The sequence below is a fragment of the Homo sapiens genome, chromosome 14 (assembly GCF_000001405.40).
Source record: "Homo sapiens chromosome 14, GRCh38.p14 Primary Assembly".
In the NCBI taxonomy this organism is placed as follows: Eukaryota; Metazoa; Chordata; class Mammalia; order Primates; family Hominidae; genus Homo; species Homo sapiens.
In genome coordinates this window covers 94,197,120-94,216,735 of record NC_000014.9, presented here as the reverse complement: position 1 = coordinate 94,216,735, position 19,616 = coordinate 94,197,120, and the positions used below count along the sequence as shown (strand labels likewise).

At 34.4% G+C, this 19,616-nt stretch overlaps 1 protein-coding gene across 10 annotated transcripts in view; it reads right to left on the bottom strand.

The window, feature by feature from the left end:
* The window catches only part of PPP4R4 (protein phosphatase 4 regulatory subunit 4), a 105,413-nt gene that overhangs the window by 62,999 nt on the left and 22,798 nt on the right, over positions 1–19,616 (bottom strand). For 8 of the 10 annotated variants that reach the window (NR_145441.2, NM_001348144.2, NM_001348143.2 and 5 more), the window contains exon 3: positions 8,170–8,272. Coding sequence is in view for 5 of the 10 variants with exons in the window: in NM_058237.2 (NP_478144.1) it covers positions 8,170–8,272 (103 nt within the window). In the remaining 5 variants the exon portion in view is untranslated. Of the gene's footprint in view, positions 1–5,464; positions 5,550–8,169; positions 8,273–19,616 lie in introns of those variants that run through there. The other 2 variants (XM_011537039.3, XM_024449673.2) reach the window with 2 other exon arrangements.

Here is a 19,616-nt window from a genome sequence, read left to right as displayed (position 1 = left end):
TGTAAAAGCAGGAAAGTTCACTGCTTCTCCCTCTGCAGCTTAGACTCTTGCTTCATAAAGGAGAAGGTTTTCAGGAAATGGGCAGAGTTGGCTCCTGTCCCTCAGCAACAGCTCATCACCACCACACCTTTATCACCAAGGGAGATGCTCTCCAATCTCCTGCCTTGTCCCCTAGTCTTTCTCACAGATCAAACAGTGGAAACGTATGGAAAAGAGCTTGCAAATGGATGCAAAGCTCCTCTGTGTCTAAGCTACAAGTTATCCTAAACACATAAACTGTGCGAGTGCACATTCACCCTTTAAAAATGTGTTAAAATCTTAGCTGATACTGCTAACTACTTTATGTGGTGGGCACCTCTTCCTCCTATGCTCTGCCAAGTCAATGTTCCTGTGTCCCATCTATCCTAAGAGGGGTTTGTTACTCTTGAGAATTCAGCTCACTTGGCTGCCTGGTGACCAACTCTGATGTGCTCAAGAAGTTATGACTGTGTGGATTTTGTGGATAACCTACTGTTATTAGAATAAGAGTGATGTTCTCTTGCAGCTTTCTATATCCTAAATGGAAGTGAAACGGATTGCTTTGTTTTTGAGCCCTAGTATCATTCCTTACTCACTTACAAGCTTAACTACACATTTAAAGTAATTTCAGAAGTTTCTGTTCGTTTTTATTGCAGATAGGGTAAAAATAACAAATGACTGAATGACTAGGAAGCATATGTGAAAACACTGGTGTCCACTAGGAATTTACTGAAAGGCAATATTTTTAGGTCTATAATGCATACCAGCTAATATAACTATATATACCCAGAAAAACTATATACTCAGTAAATGTTTCACAGAACTTTAATTATTAATAGTGAAGTAATTAGTAATGTCAATCTATTTTGTCCTTAAATACAAATAGATATATATGTAAAAAGAAAAAGCATAAAAGACATTATTCTCAAAATGCATAGCATTAAATGTACCTTTATTTTTTAAGCTGTAAACCATAGAACAGTTTGTATCAATCTGTTCATCTCTAATTCCTTTCATTAATACTTTTATTTTCTGAGTGAAATAAACAATAAGTTACATAATTTTATGCTTCCTAAACCACAAGACCTCTTAATTCTGACCCTGATGATTATCTTCTATCAACCTTACATTATAGGAATTATTTCACTTTCTTATTTACATTCCTTCCTATCAGTGTCCCTAAATGTTTAGCCTGTCTAAAGAATACTATATTGTGGGCTTTTTATGATCTGTAAGGGTCTGGAACATCATGATCTGCTTATTATGCTTATCTCAGAACACATCATCTTCAGTGAGGAAGACAGATCCCTGTTTTCTTAGCTGCAAACCAAAGAAGAAAGCAATCTGTATCATTTGTTTATGCTCTTTAATTCCTTTAGTCAAAACTATTTCTTTTTCTTGGTGAACTGTAAGAATAAATTACATACTTTCATGCTTCCTAGAAATCTCCCAATAAAATATTCATAAACACTGAATTTTTTAAGCCTAGATTTTCCGAACTGTAAAATGAGTATAAATACATCACACGGAGCTGTTAGGAGGATTTTTTTAAGGATATATCTAAAGCATTAAGCATAGTGCCTGGCCTACAGTGTTCCACACATTATTACAGCTTGAGTATCCCTTATCCCAAATGCTTGTAACCAGAAGTGTTTCAGATTTTGAATGTTTTGCGATTTTGGAATATTTGCATATTCATAATGAAATACCTTGGGGATAGGACCCAAGTCTAAATATGAAATTCATTTGTTTCATATACATTTTATACACATAGGCTGAATGTAATTTTATACAATATTTTAAATAATTTTGTGCATGAAACTAAGTTTTGACTGCATTTTGACTTTAACTGCACCTCATCGCATGAGGTCAGATGGGGAATTTTCTACTTGTAGCATCATATTTATGCTCAAAAAGCTTCAAATTTTGGAGCATTTTGATTTTGGATTTGAGGATTAGGAATGCTCAATCTGTGTTGTTTGTTCACTTAACTATGCTACTTGAAATAGGACTTTTAAAAAAGTAAAGTTAAGCTTTCTATTTACAAATGTATTTATAAAGTGAATGCTTTCTGTAAAAACTCTAGAATAAGATGTTAAAAAAATCTACCCATATACAGGAGACATAAAATTCTATAATAAATAATCATATTAGGAGAAATTATTATTTTTTCCTATTATTTCTTTCTTTTTTTTTCTGTTTTTTTTTTGTTTTTTAGAGGCAAGGTCTTGCTATGCCGCCCTAGCTGGAGTGCAGTCAGTAACTATTCACTGCAGCCTCAAACTCCTGGGCCCCAGCCTCCTGAGCAGCTGAGACTATGGGCATGCACCGAAATAAAAGGAAATCACATTTCACATTGATTATGTCCCTTTTATCCTTTCTTTATTATATATTTCCCAAATCCTCTCCAAACCCCCAAAAAGTCTCTCTCGAACATAAATCAGCGTTATATACCATTCTACATGTACGTGTCAAATTTCCAAACAAATTCTGTTCCTACTTCTCATCCAAGAATGCCATCAGTGGATCAGGCCAATGTTCCCTTGGTCTTTCAGGTAGATATTTATATTGTCTCTAAATGTTAAGTTCAATGAACACTCATTTACAAAATTTTTTTGAGTGCCTATTATCTGCCAGGCACTATTCTAGGTTCCGGGGGTATAGTGAGAAACTAGACTGACAAATATTCTGCCCTTATGAAAGAAAGGGAAAAGACTGGCAGATGATGAGGTCACAAAGGTAGATGGGGGTGATTTAAGGACACGGTAGGGGGTTGTATTATATCTGAAATGGGAAGTTACTTTCATTAGTTTCCTGTGGCTGCTGTAACAAATTACCACAAACTGAGTGGCTTAAAACAACAGCTATTTCTTCTCTCACAGGTCTGGAGGCCAGAATTTCAAAGTCAGTATCACCTGGTCAAAATCAAAGTGTTGGCAAGGCCACATTCCATCTAGAGGCTCTGGGGTAGAATCTGCTTTTTGCTTCTTTCAGCTTTTGGTGGTTGCTATCATTCCTTGGCTTGTGGCCACATCACTCCAATCTCTACCTCCATCTTCACATTGCATTCTTCTACATGTATACGTCAACTCTCGTCTGCCTTCTTATAAGGACACATGTGATGGCATTTAGACCACCACCCCAATAATCCAGGATAATCTCCCAATCTCAAGATCCTTAACTGTATCTGTAAAGACCCCTTTTCCAAATAAGGTAACATTTACAATTTCTAGGGATTAGGGCCCAATATCTTTTGGGAAGGAGCATGATTCTACCTACCACACCACTTAAGTAATTTTCATGCAAGTGGGAGACAAGATATGATTGATGCTTTTTAAAAGATTTCTCTGGGTGAGTTTGCTCTAGGAGGCAAAATGGAAGCAACAGACTCAGTGAGGAGGCTGCTGTAGTACAGACAGGAGATGACTAAGGCTTGAGACATTAAATTACACATTTTATATCTGTTACAGTCATGATCAGCTAATGAGTAGTAAAGAGTGAGGACTCAGGGCTCAGACTTCCTGTTTAAACCTAATTATACCACTTGCAAGCTTTGTGACGTTGAGCAAGTTACTTAACTAAGTTGTTTCTTCCACTGTCAAGTGATCATTATAGAACTGCTATGAGTATTCAGATTAAAATGTGTAGAATATCTGACAGAATACAGTGCCTGACACATAGTAAGACCTCAATAAATATTGGCTACATTATTTTTATCTGTGCCTGGAATTGCTCGATTTCTTTTATATAATTTTATGACAAATTTATGGTTGCCAAAATGTAAGTGTAAAAACAACTAAATAAATTTAATACCTCGATAAGTAGAGAGTGTTTTTTGCATTGGATTGTAATGGAATCACCTTCGTTATGTGGTGTAATTATATCGCTATTATTCTGAATTTTATAAAAGACCATGGTATAATATTTTGGATATTTATCTTGACAATCAAATTCTTTCACTTCTAGATAATGAGAAGTTCAAAGCAAATATTGAAGTCTAACAAACATCTAAGATTTCAATTTAATATACTGTGGAAAAAGAATTAAAACTTAATAAAATCACAGGAAAAAAATTATTCAATAGATACCCTAGGATTAAATCATGTAACATGAATATATGGTAAAAACTATATTTTAAAATGTCTCCACATTTAAGAAATTTAAATTGGAGGTCAAAATATTTCCTTTCTAAATTTCTAGCTAAATTTAACCTTCAGATGAGTGGCCTAACTGCACTACCATTCATTGCCCACTTAGCACACAATTTAGAAAATAAATTGGGGAAATACTATGGATTGGCTTAATTCTATTTTTCTTACTTTCTATTTTTCTTCTTTGTTAGTTATTCTAGACAGCAACCTCAATCTGATGGATTAGCTCAATTGTAACACTAACTCTGTTTCTGACATTTTATTTTTAAACATTAAATTCCTTTATCTCTAAAACAGTGAAAGCAACCTATTTTTTAAATCACTTTTCAATTAATCCATTATCATAAGAACAAAATGCAAATGCAATAAAACAAAAATATCACTGGTGAAAGTTTATAATACATAAGGCCAGCAAAATCTCCATTACTTCATCTGATATTCTTAAAGGTAAAGACAAGGTAAAAAGTGAGCTCTAAAAGCTGCACACACCACTGTTATAAATGTGGTAAAAATCTTGGTATTGATTAACTTCTTGCATAAAATATGTATTGTTCATATCTTTAAATTATCTAAAAGTAAATCATTCACAAAAGACTAGTATTATCAAGTACACAAATTATTTTCCTTATGAATTTAACAGACTATCAACTATAACTGAAAACCAGCAGAACCATATGCATGGTCAAGCCAGAAATCTGGAAGTCATCTCTCACTTCACAAACCCAATCTGTTACGAAATTCTGCTCATTCTACCTTAACCCATGTATCTCAGATATGTCTACTGCTCTCTACTGTCTTAATTAGTTGTCCTCATACTAGCTATGAGGGCCAGAACTGAAGCTTCCTAACTATCCCACTCCAATCTATTCTCCATACAATAACCAAAATGATCACTGTGAAATAGAAACACAATTAAGTCACTGCCTGCTTTAAAGACTTCAACGACTTTTCACTGTCCTAAGAATGAAAACCAACATTTGCATGCTCTTTCATCAACCATTTCTCTAACCTCTTCTCAATCACACCCCACACCATCCACTGGGTCCAAAACACACCTGTCTCTCTCAGTCCCACCCAGCTCTTTCACCTTAGGGCTAATTACCGTTCTCTCCACCTGAACTACTTGGTCCTGACTCTCAAATGGCTGCTTCTTTCCATCCCTTCAGTTTTCTGCTCCTCAGAAAGGCATTCCTTGCCATCCCAATGCACAGCAGGTGCCCTCGTTACTATATTACTTTATCTCATCAACTCATGTTCTGTACACTCAGAGTGCTTATCACAAATGACCATTATACCTTTCTTGGGTGAGGAGGGATTTACTTGTTTAATGTCTGTTTCTCCATCTGGACTGTAGCCTCCTCCTTGAGGGCAAGTCCCCCATCTTTTGTTCACTTCTATTTTCCCAGTGCTTCGAACAGTGCCTGCCTTATAAAAGGACTCAGTAAATATTTATGAATGAATGAGAATGCCATTATTACTAAATGCTCAAGATTACTTTCTTTTAAAAAATTGAGAAATCATGGCCAAGCAAAAGTAAATAAAGCAGTTACCCGAGATGCTGTCAGCATTTCATCACTGGAAAGTAGACACTCACAGAAGTGAGGTGGAATTGACAAAGGTGCTAACCAGGAGTACCAATAAGTCATAACAAAATCTGAATACAATGAATTTAAAATAATATGCACAGAAACACAGATTTTATCATTTGAAATGGGAGTGATTAAATGTTTGGCTGTCTACATTATATATTAGACTATCGATAAAAGTCATTATTACTGGAGTTACCCCCATAAAGCCCTTCTCATTTGCCTTATTCTTCAGCATTTTTACATCAAGTCACAAGCACACAATACTCTATTATACTTGTTCTCTCATTGTTTTCCATGGTCACTAGACCTTCCTAATATACAGTCTAATCTGGACTCTTCTACCTTTTCGGCATCTCTTTTAAACGGAGTACAGCAAGACGATGGTCCTAAATAAATGGTTGCATGTTGATTAGTAAAATAAATGAGTGAAATCATTCACATATAAATAAAGGTTTCCTTAGTACATGTTCATTAGTATATACTACCTTTGTATCCATTATTCAGTTAATATACTCTGTATTATGGATTAATTTTCATTACTTTTAAAGCTTATTAAAACCATATCTTCTAAAACTCAGGCATACCTTACAGTTTCAAAAGATACATTTGATTCTTTGTATAAATACGCTATACATATGAGTGTATAATATTCTTTATACACTTTGATTCTTTGTATAAATATGTTATACATGAGTGTATAATATTCTTTATACACTTTGATTCTTTGTATAAATATGATACATTTGATTCTTTGTATTATACACTCATATATATAGCATATTTATACAAAGAATCAAATGTATCTTTTGAAACTGTAAGGTATGCCTGAGTTATAGAAGATATGGTTTTAATAAGCTTTAAAAGTAATGAAAATTTGTATAAAATTTTCTTTAGAATATTTTAAATAGAAAGTAAGAAAATAAAAAAAAGTGTATAATATTCTTTATATACTCCCATGAAATTAAGGTTTTGGGGGAGCTGTTACTTAACTTCCTTTATTGTGAACTCAACAAAAGGAATTTTGCAAAGTAATTTAGAGACCTCTAAAGTTCACTGCTCTCTTTCATCTTTTATTCTTGCATATGAAACTTTGGATATCTAATATGCTTTCTGTGGACCAGATTTTACCTGCTCAATGCAAAGTGTGCAGCATGCAGTATTCTTAGCTATAAATCTAATTTGCTTACTTACATTAACTCTGTAGCCAAGAGGACCTAAATACCTGTTCCTTTCTGCTATTGTTTAACTGGCACTTCCAGGTGTCATGCTGACAAGTGTAGGTCAGTTAGTATCACTGAAATTGAACGTAAAAATAAACCTGGTCTGTGTGGGCCTAATTCCTTTGAAACATGGCATGATTCTGGGAAAAACAGATATAAAAAAGCTTGATTTACTTTTGAATCACATGCAATGCCAAAATAAATATCATCTTAATTCACCATTGTAATCAGTCAAAATGTTCACAGTGCCTGCATAGGTGGGCATCTCATGAAAATAACATGGTATGTCCCTGATCTAAATCACAGTAACTAGAACCATGCTACACATGCCTAAAAATAAAACTCAAGGACTCAATAATAACTTCAGTATTTTAAACACATAAATTAAAAATTATGACAAGAGCTATATCCAAATAAAAAAACAAAGCAAAATCTACCAACCTCTATTAGCAAACATAATCCTCATTAGTATGTAACCTCACTGACCCCATTAGTAGGTAAACTCTTGGAGGACACACACACTGGTGTCTGTTTTATTCATTCAAGTTCTTATAAAGAAAAGCACTTTGCACATAAGTACAAATAAATAATTACTAAATATTTAATAGTTGAAATTATTTAATTTTATATTAATAATCAATAAATATTAGTCAGAAGAAAGAATGTAATAGATCAAACATTTTTGTTCATAGCAGAAAAACTAATTCTGAAGAAATTTATAAAGCAATAAATTACATACACATCTAAAATTGTGATGGCTATAATTCAATCTTTATCTGATGATTCTTCAGAAGTCATCATAGGGTCAATTATTAGGAATATCAGCTCAATTATATTATCAATGTTATACAAATACTATTAATATAGATTTAAGTCAACAGAATACTAAATACTTTTTTTTAAGAATAATTAAGAGGTGTTTTTGAGCTACTAAAAACTACCTTTAGTAAAATGTCTCTACTGAGAAAATGACTAAAGAAATTTTACAACTTAAGATCTGGATTTCTCCATTTCCATCAGCTAATTTCCCTAAATATTTTCATTATAATTCAAAATGTATATAATAACACTTCCTCCACTCAATTTTTAGGTGCAAAAGATCAGCCATCAAAGCTCCAAAATCCTTTCAACAATGACAACATGCTACTGGGAAAAAATGGGAAACTCCAATCTTATTTCATACCAACTTACTCTGACTTTTGGCAACACTCTCCGAAGCGTCTCAGTGGGATTCTGTCGCATCAAAAATGGGAGATTTGCAATCACACTTGTTCCTTGGACATCTTGACCAGCACTTACAAAGAAAACACAAATTTAAAATTTATAATTATAAGCTGAATTCCTCTGCACAGTTATAAAAAGTATGGACTAATTGGAAAAATGACTGCTTTGAATGTTAAGCACTCAGACTTCTAAGTTTTAAGCCAGAAATACATCATTTAGATATAAAATTAAAACCAAAACTGAAATTTTATTAAGCAAATCTTATAACAAATACATGAAGATATTAATTATGCTTGTGCTGAAACAAGATTGTCTATTGTTTTATATGTCTTAAGTCTAAAAGTTTCGAGACTATTATTAAATACATATTTTTTAATTCTACCTCATTTTTTCCTGTGACCTGCCAGTTTGCCATACTTTATAAAAATATATAAATGGTAACATTTTATTACGGTAAAACATTAATAGTCATAGCAACAGGGACAGCAATAAAATCAACTACAGCAAAATCATACAACTTTCTCTTGGTACAGTGAAATCACTTGTTACACTAGATTTGACTCCATGTCAGAAACTTCTTAAAGATACACTCAATACTCTTAAAGATCAGCAGGGTATATTTACATAACTCCTTTTTAAATTAACATTCATTAAGGAGTTATCAAAATAATCTCAGCAATACTCTAGTGGCCTAAATACCTTGAAAAAAATGTTCAGATTCTTCCCAAAAAAACCATTTCCACAAACAGCAAAAAACTGTTTTCAAATATAACCAAAGTGGCCTAAGTTCTGAAAGTACTTGAAATATACATATATATATATAGATAGATAGATATAGATATATATATCAAAAAGATGCTAATAAACATGGCATCACCTCAGAGGGAAATTCCACCTGTTCTTAACTGACACCAATTTAAATATTGATAGCTGATTCCATAATATTTACTTATTGATTAGAATTATTTTTACTTATCTCTTCAAATGGATTTGTAGTTATACGTACATAAGACTTTAATACATGTTTTACATAGTTTTTAAAATAATATTATTTTTGCTTTAGAGTAAGTTCTATTAGAAAGAAACATATTCTGATTCTAAATGAAGCTGCCCTGTCATGAAGAAAGGCTTTTTCTGTTGCTATACGGTAAGCTATGAAATACAGGACATCATAATCATTCCACTGTTCTCATCACTCTCTAGGAGAATCCTTTAATAGACAAAATTCAGAAGGAATAGCAAAGGGTGTGAAATAGAGAACCCATGCCAAATGGAGAGAGGATCAAAAAAAGAGAAATCAAAGTTGCACAGAAAAATACTATTTGTAGTGAACTGAATGGTGGCCCCCTAAAAGATATGTCTACATCTTAATCCTAGAACCTGCGATTATTGTCTTAATTTTTAAAGGGCTCTTGAGATAAAGAGATTATCCTGGGTTATCCAAACTATCTAGGCCCTAAATCCAATAGCAAGTGTCCTTAAAAGAAAAACTCAGAGAATAAAACACAATAGATGGCCATTTGACCACAGATGCAGAAATTTGAGCAATACAGCCACAAGTCAGGGAATGGTGACAACCACCAAAAGTTGGAATAGGCAAGAATGGATTCTCCTCTAGATCCCTGCTGACATCTTGACTTCAGACTTCTGTTTTCTAGAACTGTGACAGAATAAATTTCTATTATTTTTAAGCCACCTGGTTTGCGGTAATTTGTTACAACAACCAGAGGAAATAAATTTACTACACTGCTAAAGAACTGAAAGAGAATAATCTGAAAGAAAAAGAAAATGACAATGCCTGGCCCAGGGTAGAGGTTCAATAAATATCTCTTGAAAACATGAATGAATAGATGGCTAACTAGATGAACAGATGTCAGGAACATTAAATATTGAATGTTCAGTGAATTTTATTCACTAATTTGCAATTAAGATAAAAAAGGGTATAATCTCTAATACCTCATGGAGGTGAAAACAAAACTTTTCACAGGAAGGCAAGAAAAAGAAAACAGAAGCAAAAAAAGAACAAATAAAAAATAAAATGATACACTTTAGCCTTAAAATATCAACAATTACATTAAATATAAGTGGTCTAAATATATCAATTTAAGACCGGAATTGGCAGAGTGGATTTTAAAAATGATTCGACTATATACTGTCTACAAGAAACTCACTTCAAATATAACAGTATCAGTGGTTGAAAATAAAGAATGGAAAATAATGTATCATAGAAATGTGAATCAAAAGAAAGCAGGAGTGGCTATATGAGTATCAAGTAAAGTAAATCTCAGAGAAGAGAAAATCACCAGAGACAGACAGGGACATTATAAAATGATAAAAGAGATGAATCCACCAAGAAATAGCAAACCTAAGTGTGTATACAACAAACTGAGTTGCAAAATATGTGATGCAAAAACTGATGAGACTGAAAAGAAAAACAGACAAAAATACACAGGTGCAGCTGGAGATTTCAGAACCCATCTCTCAACAACTGACAGAACTACACAGGGAATCAGCAAAGATATAGAAGAACTCAAGAATACCATCAACCAAGATTTAGTAGACATTTATAGAACACTCTATCCAACAGCAGAATACACATTCCATTCAAGTGCCCGAAGAATATATATCAAGACAGACCACAAAACAAACCTCAACAAATTTTTGAAAATTTAAATAATACAGAATTTTCTCTAACCACAATGGAATCAAACTAGAAGTTAGTAAAAGAAAGGTAACAGAAAAATCTCCCAACTCTTGGAAACTAAACAACAAACTTCTGTATTTTCCCATGAATCAAAGAGAAAGGTCTCACGGGAAATCAAAAAATACACTGAACTAATGAAAATAAAAAATCAACATTTGTGGGATACAGGTAACATATTCAAAGAGGGAAATGTAACCATTAGAAAAAAATGGAACATCTCAAATCAATAATCTAACTTTCCACTTCAAGAACCTAGAACAAAATAATCACAATACAAGCAGAAGAAACAAAGAGATGAGATTAATAATAAAAATAGAAAAAATAAAAGGAAGGAAACAAAGACCTAGTTGTTTTAAAGATCGATAAAAATCAACTAATCTCAGCAAGAATGACAAAAGAACAAGACAAGACATGAATTACCAACAACAGGATTGAAACGGTAGGTATCTCTACAGACTGCAGAAATCAAAAGGATAATAAGTGAATGCTATGAATACTTCTATACATATAAATTTGAAAACTTAGACAAAATGGTCCAATTCTTTGATAAACATAGTCACAACTTATCCAATATGAAAGAGATAATCTGAATGCTCCTACAACTATTAGAGAAATTGAATTAATATTTTCAAAGTCTTAAAAAATTGTCCAGGCCCAGATGGTTTCAATGGAGAATACTACCATTTAATGAAAAATTAACACTATTCTACACAATCTCTTCCAGAAAAGAGAAGAGGAGGTGGCACTTCCTAAATCACTTCATGAAGAAAAACTGCAAAGCAGTATACCTCATATATATAGATACAAAAATATTTAACAAAATTTTAGCAAGAATTATATACCATGATCAAATGAAGTTTATTGCAGGGATGCAACGCTGGTTCAATATTAAAAATCAATGTACTCCATCACATTAACAGGCTAAAGAAGAAAAATATCACATGATCATACCAATTCAGAAAAAACATGTGACAAAAGTCAACACATGAACACTGAAATTACAAATTCAATATAATTTATAATCACTCCAAAAAACTAACAAAATATGTACAGAAGTTGTAGGCTGAAAATACACAATGCTGAAAGAAATCAAAGGATATCTAAGCAATCAGAGAGGCACACACTGGGAAATTCAGCATGGTAAATATGGCGATTCTCCCCAAAGTGGTATACAGCTTTAACACAATTCCTATCAAAATACCAACAAGATTTCGGGAGACATAGATTATATTTTTTCTAAATTTGTATGAAAAACCAAAGGAATGAGCATAGCTGAAACAATTTTGAAAAAGAGGAATGAAGTAGGAGGAATTGTGTCCACCCACTGTTAAGACTTATTATATAGCTATAGTAACCAACACTGCACAGTATTGGTGGAAGGAGAGAGACACAGATCCACAGAACAGAAGAGAGAACCCAGAAATAGACCCCCACACATATGCCCAACTGATTTTTGGCAACAGTGCAGAGACAATCCAGTAGACAAAAGACAGCCTTTTCATCAAACGGCACTGAAGCAACTAGATATCCACAGGTGTTTAAAATTAAAAACAAAAAAAAACTGACATGACCTATGCCTCACACTAACTCAAAGTAAATCACAGACTTATACTTAAAACATAAAACTAATCACTTCTCAACCTTTTCACTAAGATCAAGTGTGAAACATATAACAATAGACCTGTCAGGAAAAACATGGGCAAATAGCTTCTAGATCTAGGGCTAGACAAAGAATTCTTAAACTTGACAGTAAAAGCATGATCCACAAGAAAGAAAAGTTAGACTTCATCAAAATTTAAAACTTTTGCATTGTGAAAGACCCTGTAAAAGGATGAAAAGACAAGCCACAGACTGGGAGAAAATATTTGCAAATGAATGTTTGAAAAAGGGCTAGTGTCGAGACCATATAAAGAACTCTCAAAACTCAATAGTAATAAAATACACAATCCAATTCAAAAATGGGTAAAAGACATGAGGGAACATTTTACTGAGGATGATATACAGATTGCAAATAAGCCCACTAAAAGATGTTTAATTCATTAACCATCAGGCAAACACAAAGTAAAAGGACAATGAGATATCACTACACACTTATCAGAATGGCTAAAATTTTAAAAACACTACCAAAAGCAAAAAAACTGGATGACTCATTGCTGCTAGGAATGTAAGCCGGTATAGCCACTCTGGAAAACACTTTGGAAGTTTCTTAAAATATTAAATATGCAACACCATACAAGCCAGCAATTGTACTCTGGGGCATTTATCCCAAAGAAATAAAAATTTCTGTTCACATAAAAACTTGTGGATGAATGTTTATAACACCTTTATTTGAACAAAACAACAACAAAAAAAAGATATGAAAACAATGATATGTCCTTAAGTGAAGAAACGGATAAATGAACTGTAGTACACCATACTGTGGAATGCTACTCAGCAATAAAAAGGAAAAAAAAAGAACTATTTATATGTGTATCCACCTGAAGAATCTCCAGAAATTATGCTAAGTGAAAAAAATTCAATCCCAAAAGGTTACATACCGTATGATTCCACTTATATAGCATTCTTGAAATGACAAAGTTATGCAAATAGAGAACAGGTTAGTGAATTCCAGGGGCTAAGGAGAGATACAGGAGCAGGAGGGAAATAGGTGTGACTACACAAGTGTAATGTGAGAGATCCCATGGTGATGGAAATCTTATGTATCCTGATTTTATCAATGTCAACATCCTGTCAAGATGTTACTATAGGGGAAAACTGGATAAAGAGAACATGGGTATTTCTGTATTATTTCTTACAACTGTATGTGAATCTATAGTTTTCTCAAAATAAAAAGATTTTTTTTTTTTTTGAGATGGAGTCTGGCTCTGTCACCAGGCTGGAGTGCAGTGGTGCAATCTCGGCTCACTGCAACCTCTGACTCCCTGGTTCAAGCTATTCTCCTGCCTCAGCCTCCCGAGTAGCTGGGATTACAGGCACGTGCCACCACGCCCGGCCAATATTTTGTTTTTATTTTTTAGTAGAGACAGGGTTTCACCATGTTGGCCAGGATGGTCTCGATCTCTTGACCTCATGATCCACCTGCTTCAGCCTCCCAAAGTGCTGGGATTACAGGCGTGAGCCACCACACCAGGCCAAAAGGGTTAATTTTTGAAATCAGTTAATGTAACAGAATTTTCAAAAAACACATGGATACCTCACTGCATGTGGAAATCTGAGAAATCCAGTATGTACCCATGATTTAAAACTATCAGCAAACTACAAATAGAAGGGAACTTCTTCAACCAGATAAAGAATATCTACGACAAACTTAGAGCTAGCATCATACTTAATGGTGAAAGAAAGAATACTTTCCCCCAAGTCAGGAACAAGGCAGGGATGTTGACCATTACCACTTCTTTATTTTAATCCATAAACACAATATTTATCTTTGTTTATTTATATCTTTGAATAATTTATTCAGTTTTATGTAATTTTTAACAAACAGATCTTACACACATTTTCTTAGATTCGTATCTAAGCACTTTATTTCTATAGGTTTTTGGGGAACAGGTGGTGTTTGGTTATATGAATAAGTTCTTCAGCGGTGATTTCTGAGATTTTGGTGCACCTATCACCCAAGCAGTGTACACTGTACCCAGTGTGTAGTCTTTTACCCCTCACACCCCTCACACCCTTTCCCCAGGGTCCCCAAAGTCCACTGTATCATTCTTATGCCTTTGCGTCCTCATAGCTTAGCTCCTGCTTATAAGTGAGAACATACGATGTTTGCTTTTCCATTCCTGAGTTACTTCACTTAGAATAATAGTCTCCATCAAGGTTGCTGCAAATGCCAATATTTTGTTCCTTTTTATGGTGAGTGTGTATATATATGTATATATATATATTTATATATATACACACACACATTTTCTTTATCTACTCATTGACTGATGGGCATTTGGGCTGGTTCCATATTTTAGCAACTGCAAATTGTACTGCTACAAACATGCATTTGCAAGCATCTTTTTCATATAATGACTTCTTTTCCTCTGGGTAGACACCTAGTAGGTACAGAATCACAGAATGGATAAGAATTCACCAACCAGCTGCTGTCTTCAAGAGACTCACCAAACACACATAAGGACTCACATAAACTTAAGGTAAAGGGGTAGAAAAAGATATTCCATGCAAACGGTCACCAAAAGTGAGCAGGAGTAGCTATTCTTACATCAGACAAAACAAACTTTAAAGCAACAGCAGTTTAAAAAGACAAAGAGGGGCATTACATAATGATAAAAAGGACTTGTCCAACAGTGAAATATCACAATCCTAAATATATATACACCTAACACTGGAGCTCCCAAATTTATAAAACAATTACTACTAGACCTAAGACAGCAGCACAATAATAGTGGGGGACTTCAATACCTCACTGACAGTACTAGAAAGGTCATCAAGACATAAAGTCAACAAGGCAACAATGGACTTAAACTATACCCTAGAACAAATGAACTTAACAGATGATCTACAGAACATGCTACCCAACAACTGAAGAACACACTTTCTATTCATCAGCACATGGAATATTCTCCAAGAAAGACCATATGATAGGCCACAAAACAAGTCTCAATAAATTTAAGAAAATCAAAATTACATTAAGTACTCTCTGAGACCACAGTGGAATAAAATTGGAAATCAACTCCAAAAGGAACCCTCAAAACCATGCAAATACATGGAAATTTAATAATGTGTTCCTGAATGATCATTGAGTCAACAATGAAATCAAGATGGAAATTAAAAAATTCTTTCAACTGAATAATAGTGACACAACTTACCAAAATCACTGGGATAGAGCAAAAGCGGTGCTAAGAGGAGAGTTCATAGCATTAAATGTCTACATCAAAAAGTCTGAAAGAGCACAAATAGACTAGCTGAGGTCGCACCTCAAGGAACTAGAGAAACAACAAACCAAACCCAAACCCAGCAGAAGAAAAGAAGTAACAAAGATCAGAACAGGACTAAATGAAAGGGAAACAAAAAAAAAATACAAAAGATAAGTGAAACAAAAAGCTGGTTCTTTGAAAAGATAAACAACATTGATAGACCACTAGCGAGATTAACCAAGAAGAGAGAAGATCCAAATAAGCTCAATTAGAAATGAAACGGGAGATATCACAACCAATACCACAGAAATACAAAAGATCATTCAAGGCTACTGGGAACACCTTTATGCACACAAAGTAGAAAACCTAGAGAAGATGGATACATTCTTGGAAGTATACAACCCTCCTAGATTAAACCAGGAAGAAATAGAAACTCTGAACAGACCAATAACAAGCAGCAAGATTGAAATTGTAATTTAAAAATTGCCAACAAAGAGAAATCCAGGACTAGACAGATTCACAGCTGAATTCTATCAGACATTCAAAGAAGAATTGGTACCAACCTATTGAAACTAGGCCATTACCACTATCCAACACTGTGTTGGAGCTCTGAGCCAGTGCAATAAGGCAAGAAAAGGAAATAAAGGACTTACAGATTAGAAGTTTAATTATCTTTATTCACAAACAACATAGTTGTCTATGGTGAATATCCTAAATAATCTACAAAATGGCTAGAATAAGTGAGTCTAGCAGTATGCAGAATACAAGGTCAATACATAAAAGTATCTCTACTTTTATATATTATATTCTCCATATAATAGAAAAGAAATATAAATTATAATTTTAAAAGTAATCTAATTTACATTAACATAACAATATTGATATGGGAGGGGGTGCAGGGAAGTGCCGGGAAGGGAAAGGCTGTTCCCTGACTAGGGTACCACCCCTGGGCCTGTGCCCACGGACCTAGGTGAGGACAGGAACTCCTGCCTTCACGTCCAAATTCTGCCATTTCCCAAGACCACCCTGGCCCACCACACCCTCATCCTGTGCCTATAAAAACCCCAAGACCCTAGCAGGCAGAGACGCAAGTGGCTGGACGTGGAAAGGAACACTCCAGCGGAAGAAAACACACGCAGCTAGATGTTAAGAGGCCGTCAAGAGGAGCGCATCCGCATAAGAGCACAATAACAGGCACTGGCAGGTCCGCAAGCCATCAACCCCCGGAATGAGGTGGAGTTTGGCTGGGGCAGTCAGAGGAGAGCGCGGGCTGCTAAGCAGCCCGACTCCAGGGGAAAACTACCTTTCCACTCTGTCTCTCTTCTGGCTCCCCCATCTGCTGAGAGCTACTTCTACTCAATACAACCTTGCACTTATTCTCCAAGTCCACGTGTGATCCGATTCTTCCAGTACACCAAGGCAAGAAACCCCGAGATACAGAAAGCCCTCTGACCTTGCAATAAGGCAAGGGTCTAATTGAGCTGACTAACACAAGCCGCCTACGGACAGCAAAACTGAAAGAGCACCCTGTAACACATGCCCACTGGGACTTCGGGAGCTCTAAACATCTACCTCTAGACACTGCCATGGGGTCAGAGCCCCACAACCTGCCCATCTGCATGCTCCCCCTAGAGGTTTGAGCAGTGGGGCACCAAAGAAGCACGCCACTCCCCCACTGCACGCCCTGCGAGCGGTCTGGGGAACTTTTCCTATTTCAATATGAAATATATTTAGAAAACTTGACAAAAGATGTTTAAGATTTGTAGACCAAAAATTACAGAACATGCTGAGAGAAATAAAGAAGAACTAAATATATTCAAGTATCAAAGACTCAATACTGTTAAGATGTCAATCTCACAAATTGAAGACAGATTCAATATGATCCCCTTCTAAAACCCAGTAGGCTTTCTGCAGAAATGAACAAGCTTATTCTAAAATCTATATGGAAATGCAAAGGATATAGAATAGCTAAAACAAATCTGACAAAAACAAAGTTGTAGGGCTAATACTAGCAGGTTTGATTTTAAAACCTATCACAGAGCTACAACAGTAGAGCTACAACAGACAATGTCGTGCAATACTGGCATATGATCAATGGAAAAGAACAGAAAGTCCAGAAATAGACCCAAACATAAATGCGCAATTGAGTTTTTAAAAAGGTGAAACGACAACTCAATGAGGAGATGATAATCTTTTCAACAAGTGGTGGTGGGACAATTAAATAGCCGTATACAAACACAATGAGTCTCTCCTCAACCTGAAACAATAAACAGAATTTAATTCAAAGTGGATCACAGGCCTGAATTTAAGAGCCAATAATGTAAAACTTCTAGAAGAAAACAGCAGAAAATCTTAGTGACCTTGGGTTTGACAAGATTTCTTGAAGAAAACACAAAAGGTAAAGTATAAAAAATTTAAAAATCAACCAAATAAACTTCATCACAATTAAAAATGTTTGTTTTTCAAAGGCACTGTTACAAAAATGAAAATGTAAGCCATAGACTGGCATAAAATATTTGCAAAATAAATATTTAGCAAACAACTTGTATCTAGAATATATAGAGAATTCTTAACTACAAGAGTAAGAACATCCAATAAAAAGCAGACAAAAGATTTGAACACCTCACCAAAGAAAATATAAAAATGGCAAATAAATACATCTTAAAATGCTCAACAAAATTTTAATCGTTAGGTAAAATTACATTACAACCACAATGAGATATCACTACACATTCACTAAAATAACTAAAATTATAAGGACTCAACGTGCCAAATGTTGGCAAGGATGAGGAGTAATGGTCCTTTCACATACTACTGATGGAATATAAAATAATACGATCATTTTGGAAAAGTTTGACAATTTCTTTAAAGGATACACATACACCTACCAAACCACCCAGATATTCCATACTTAGACATTTATCCAAGGGAAATAACAGCATATGTTCACATAAACACTTTAATGTAAATATTTATAGCAGCTTTGTTTGTAATACATAAAACAATCCAGATGTTCACTAACAAGTGGATAATCAAATTATTATATTCCATACAGTGATATATCCATATAGCAATAAAAAGAAATGAACAAAATCATGGATAAACTTCAAAACAATTACACTGAATGAAAGAAGCCATACAAAAAAAATAATACTACTGTATGTTTTCACTTACAGAAAATCACAGAAAATACAAACTGAACTATAGTGGCAGAAAGCAGTTTTTGCCTGGGAATGAGGAAAGGAGAATGAAAGCTGGGTTACAAAAGGGACATGGGGAAATTTTCGGAGGTGGATATGCTTATTATCTTGATCATGGTGAGGGTTTCATGGGAATACACATATGTGAAAAGTCATCAAATTCCCCATTTTAAATATATGTAGTTTACTGTACATCAATACCTCAATAAACTGGTGCAAAATAAAGTATATAAATACAAAAAGACTGATGAAAGTACCCCTATGAAGATGGCAGCAGTGAACACATCATTTTTTAAAATTTCCTGAATCCCTCATTAAAAACAGAGCAACTAGGACAAAAATAATAAAATTAAACAAAATAAATAAAATAAACCATGCATAACATCTACACCATAACTACGTGATAAGATTTCCCACACAAACCAAAAATGCATGCCACGTGTGAATGGCAGCTAAAACTGCAAATGGTTTTGTATCCTCCAACAGCTGATGAATTCAAGTCCATAGTAACATCTGAGAGGACCAAGCAGTCTTATCCCCATGAACTTTCAAAACTTCTAGAACAAAGACCCAAGATGAAGAAAAATTCTGGGAAACAGAATCCAAATTGAGCAGCAGAGGAACAACAAGAAGGTCCACATAAAAGTA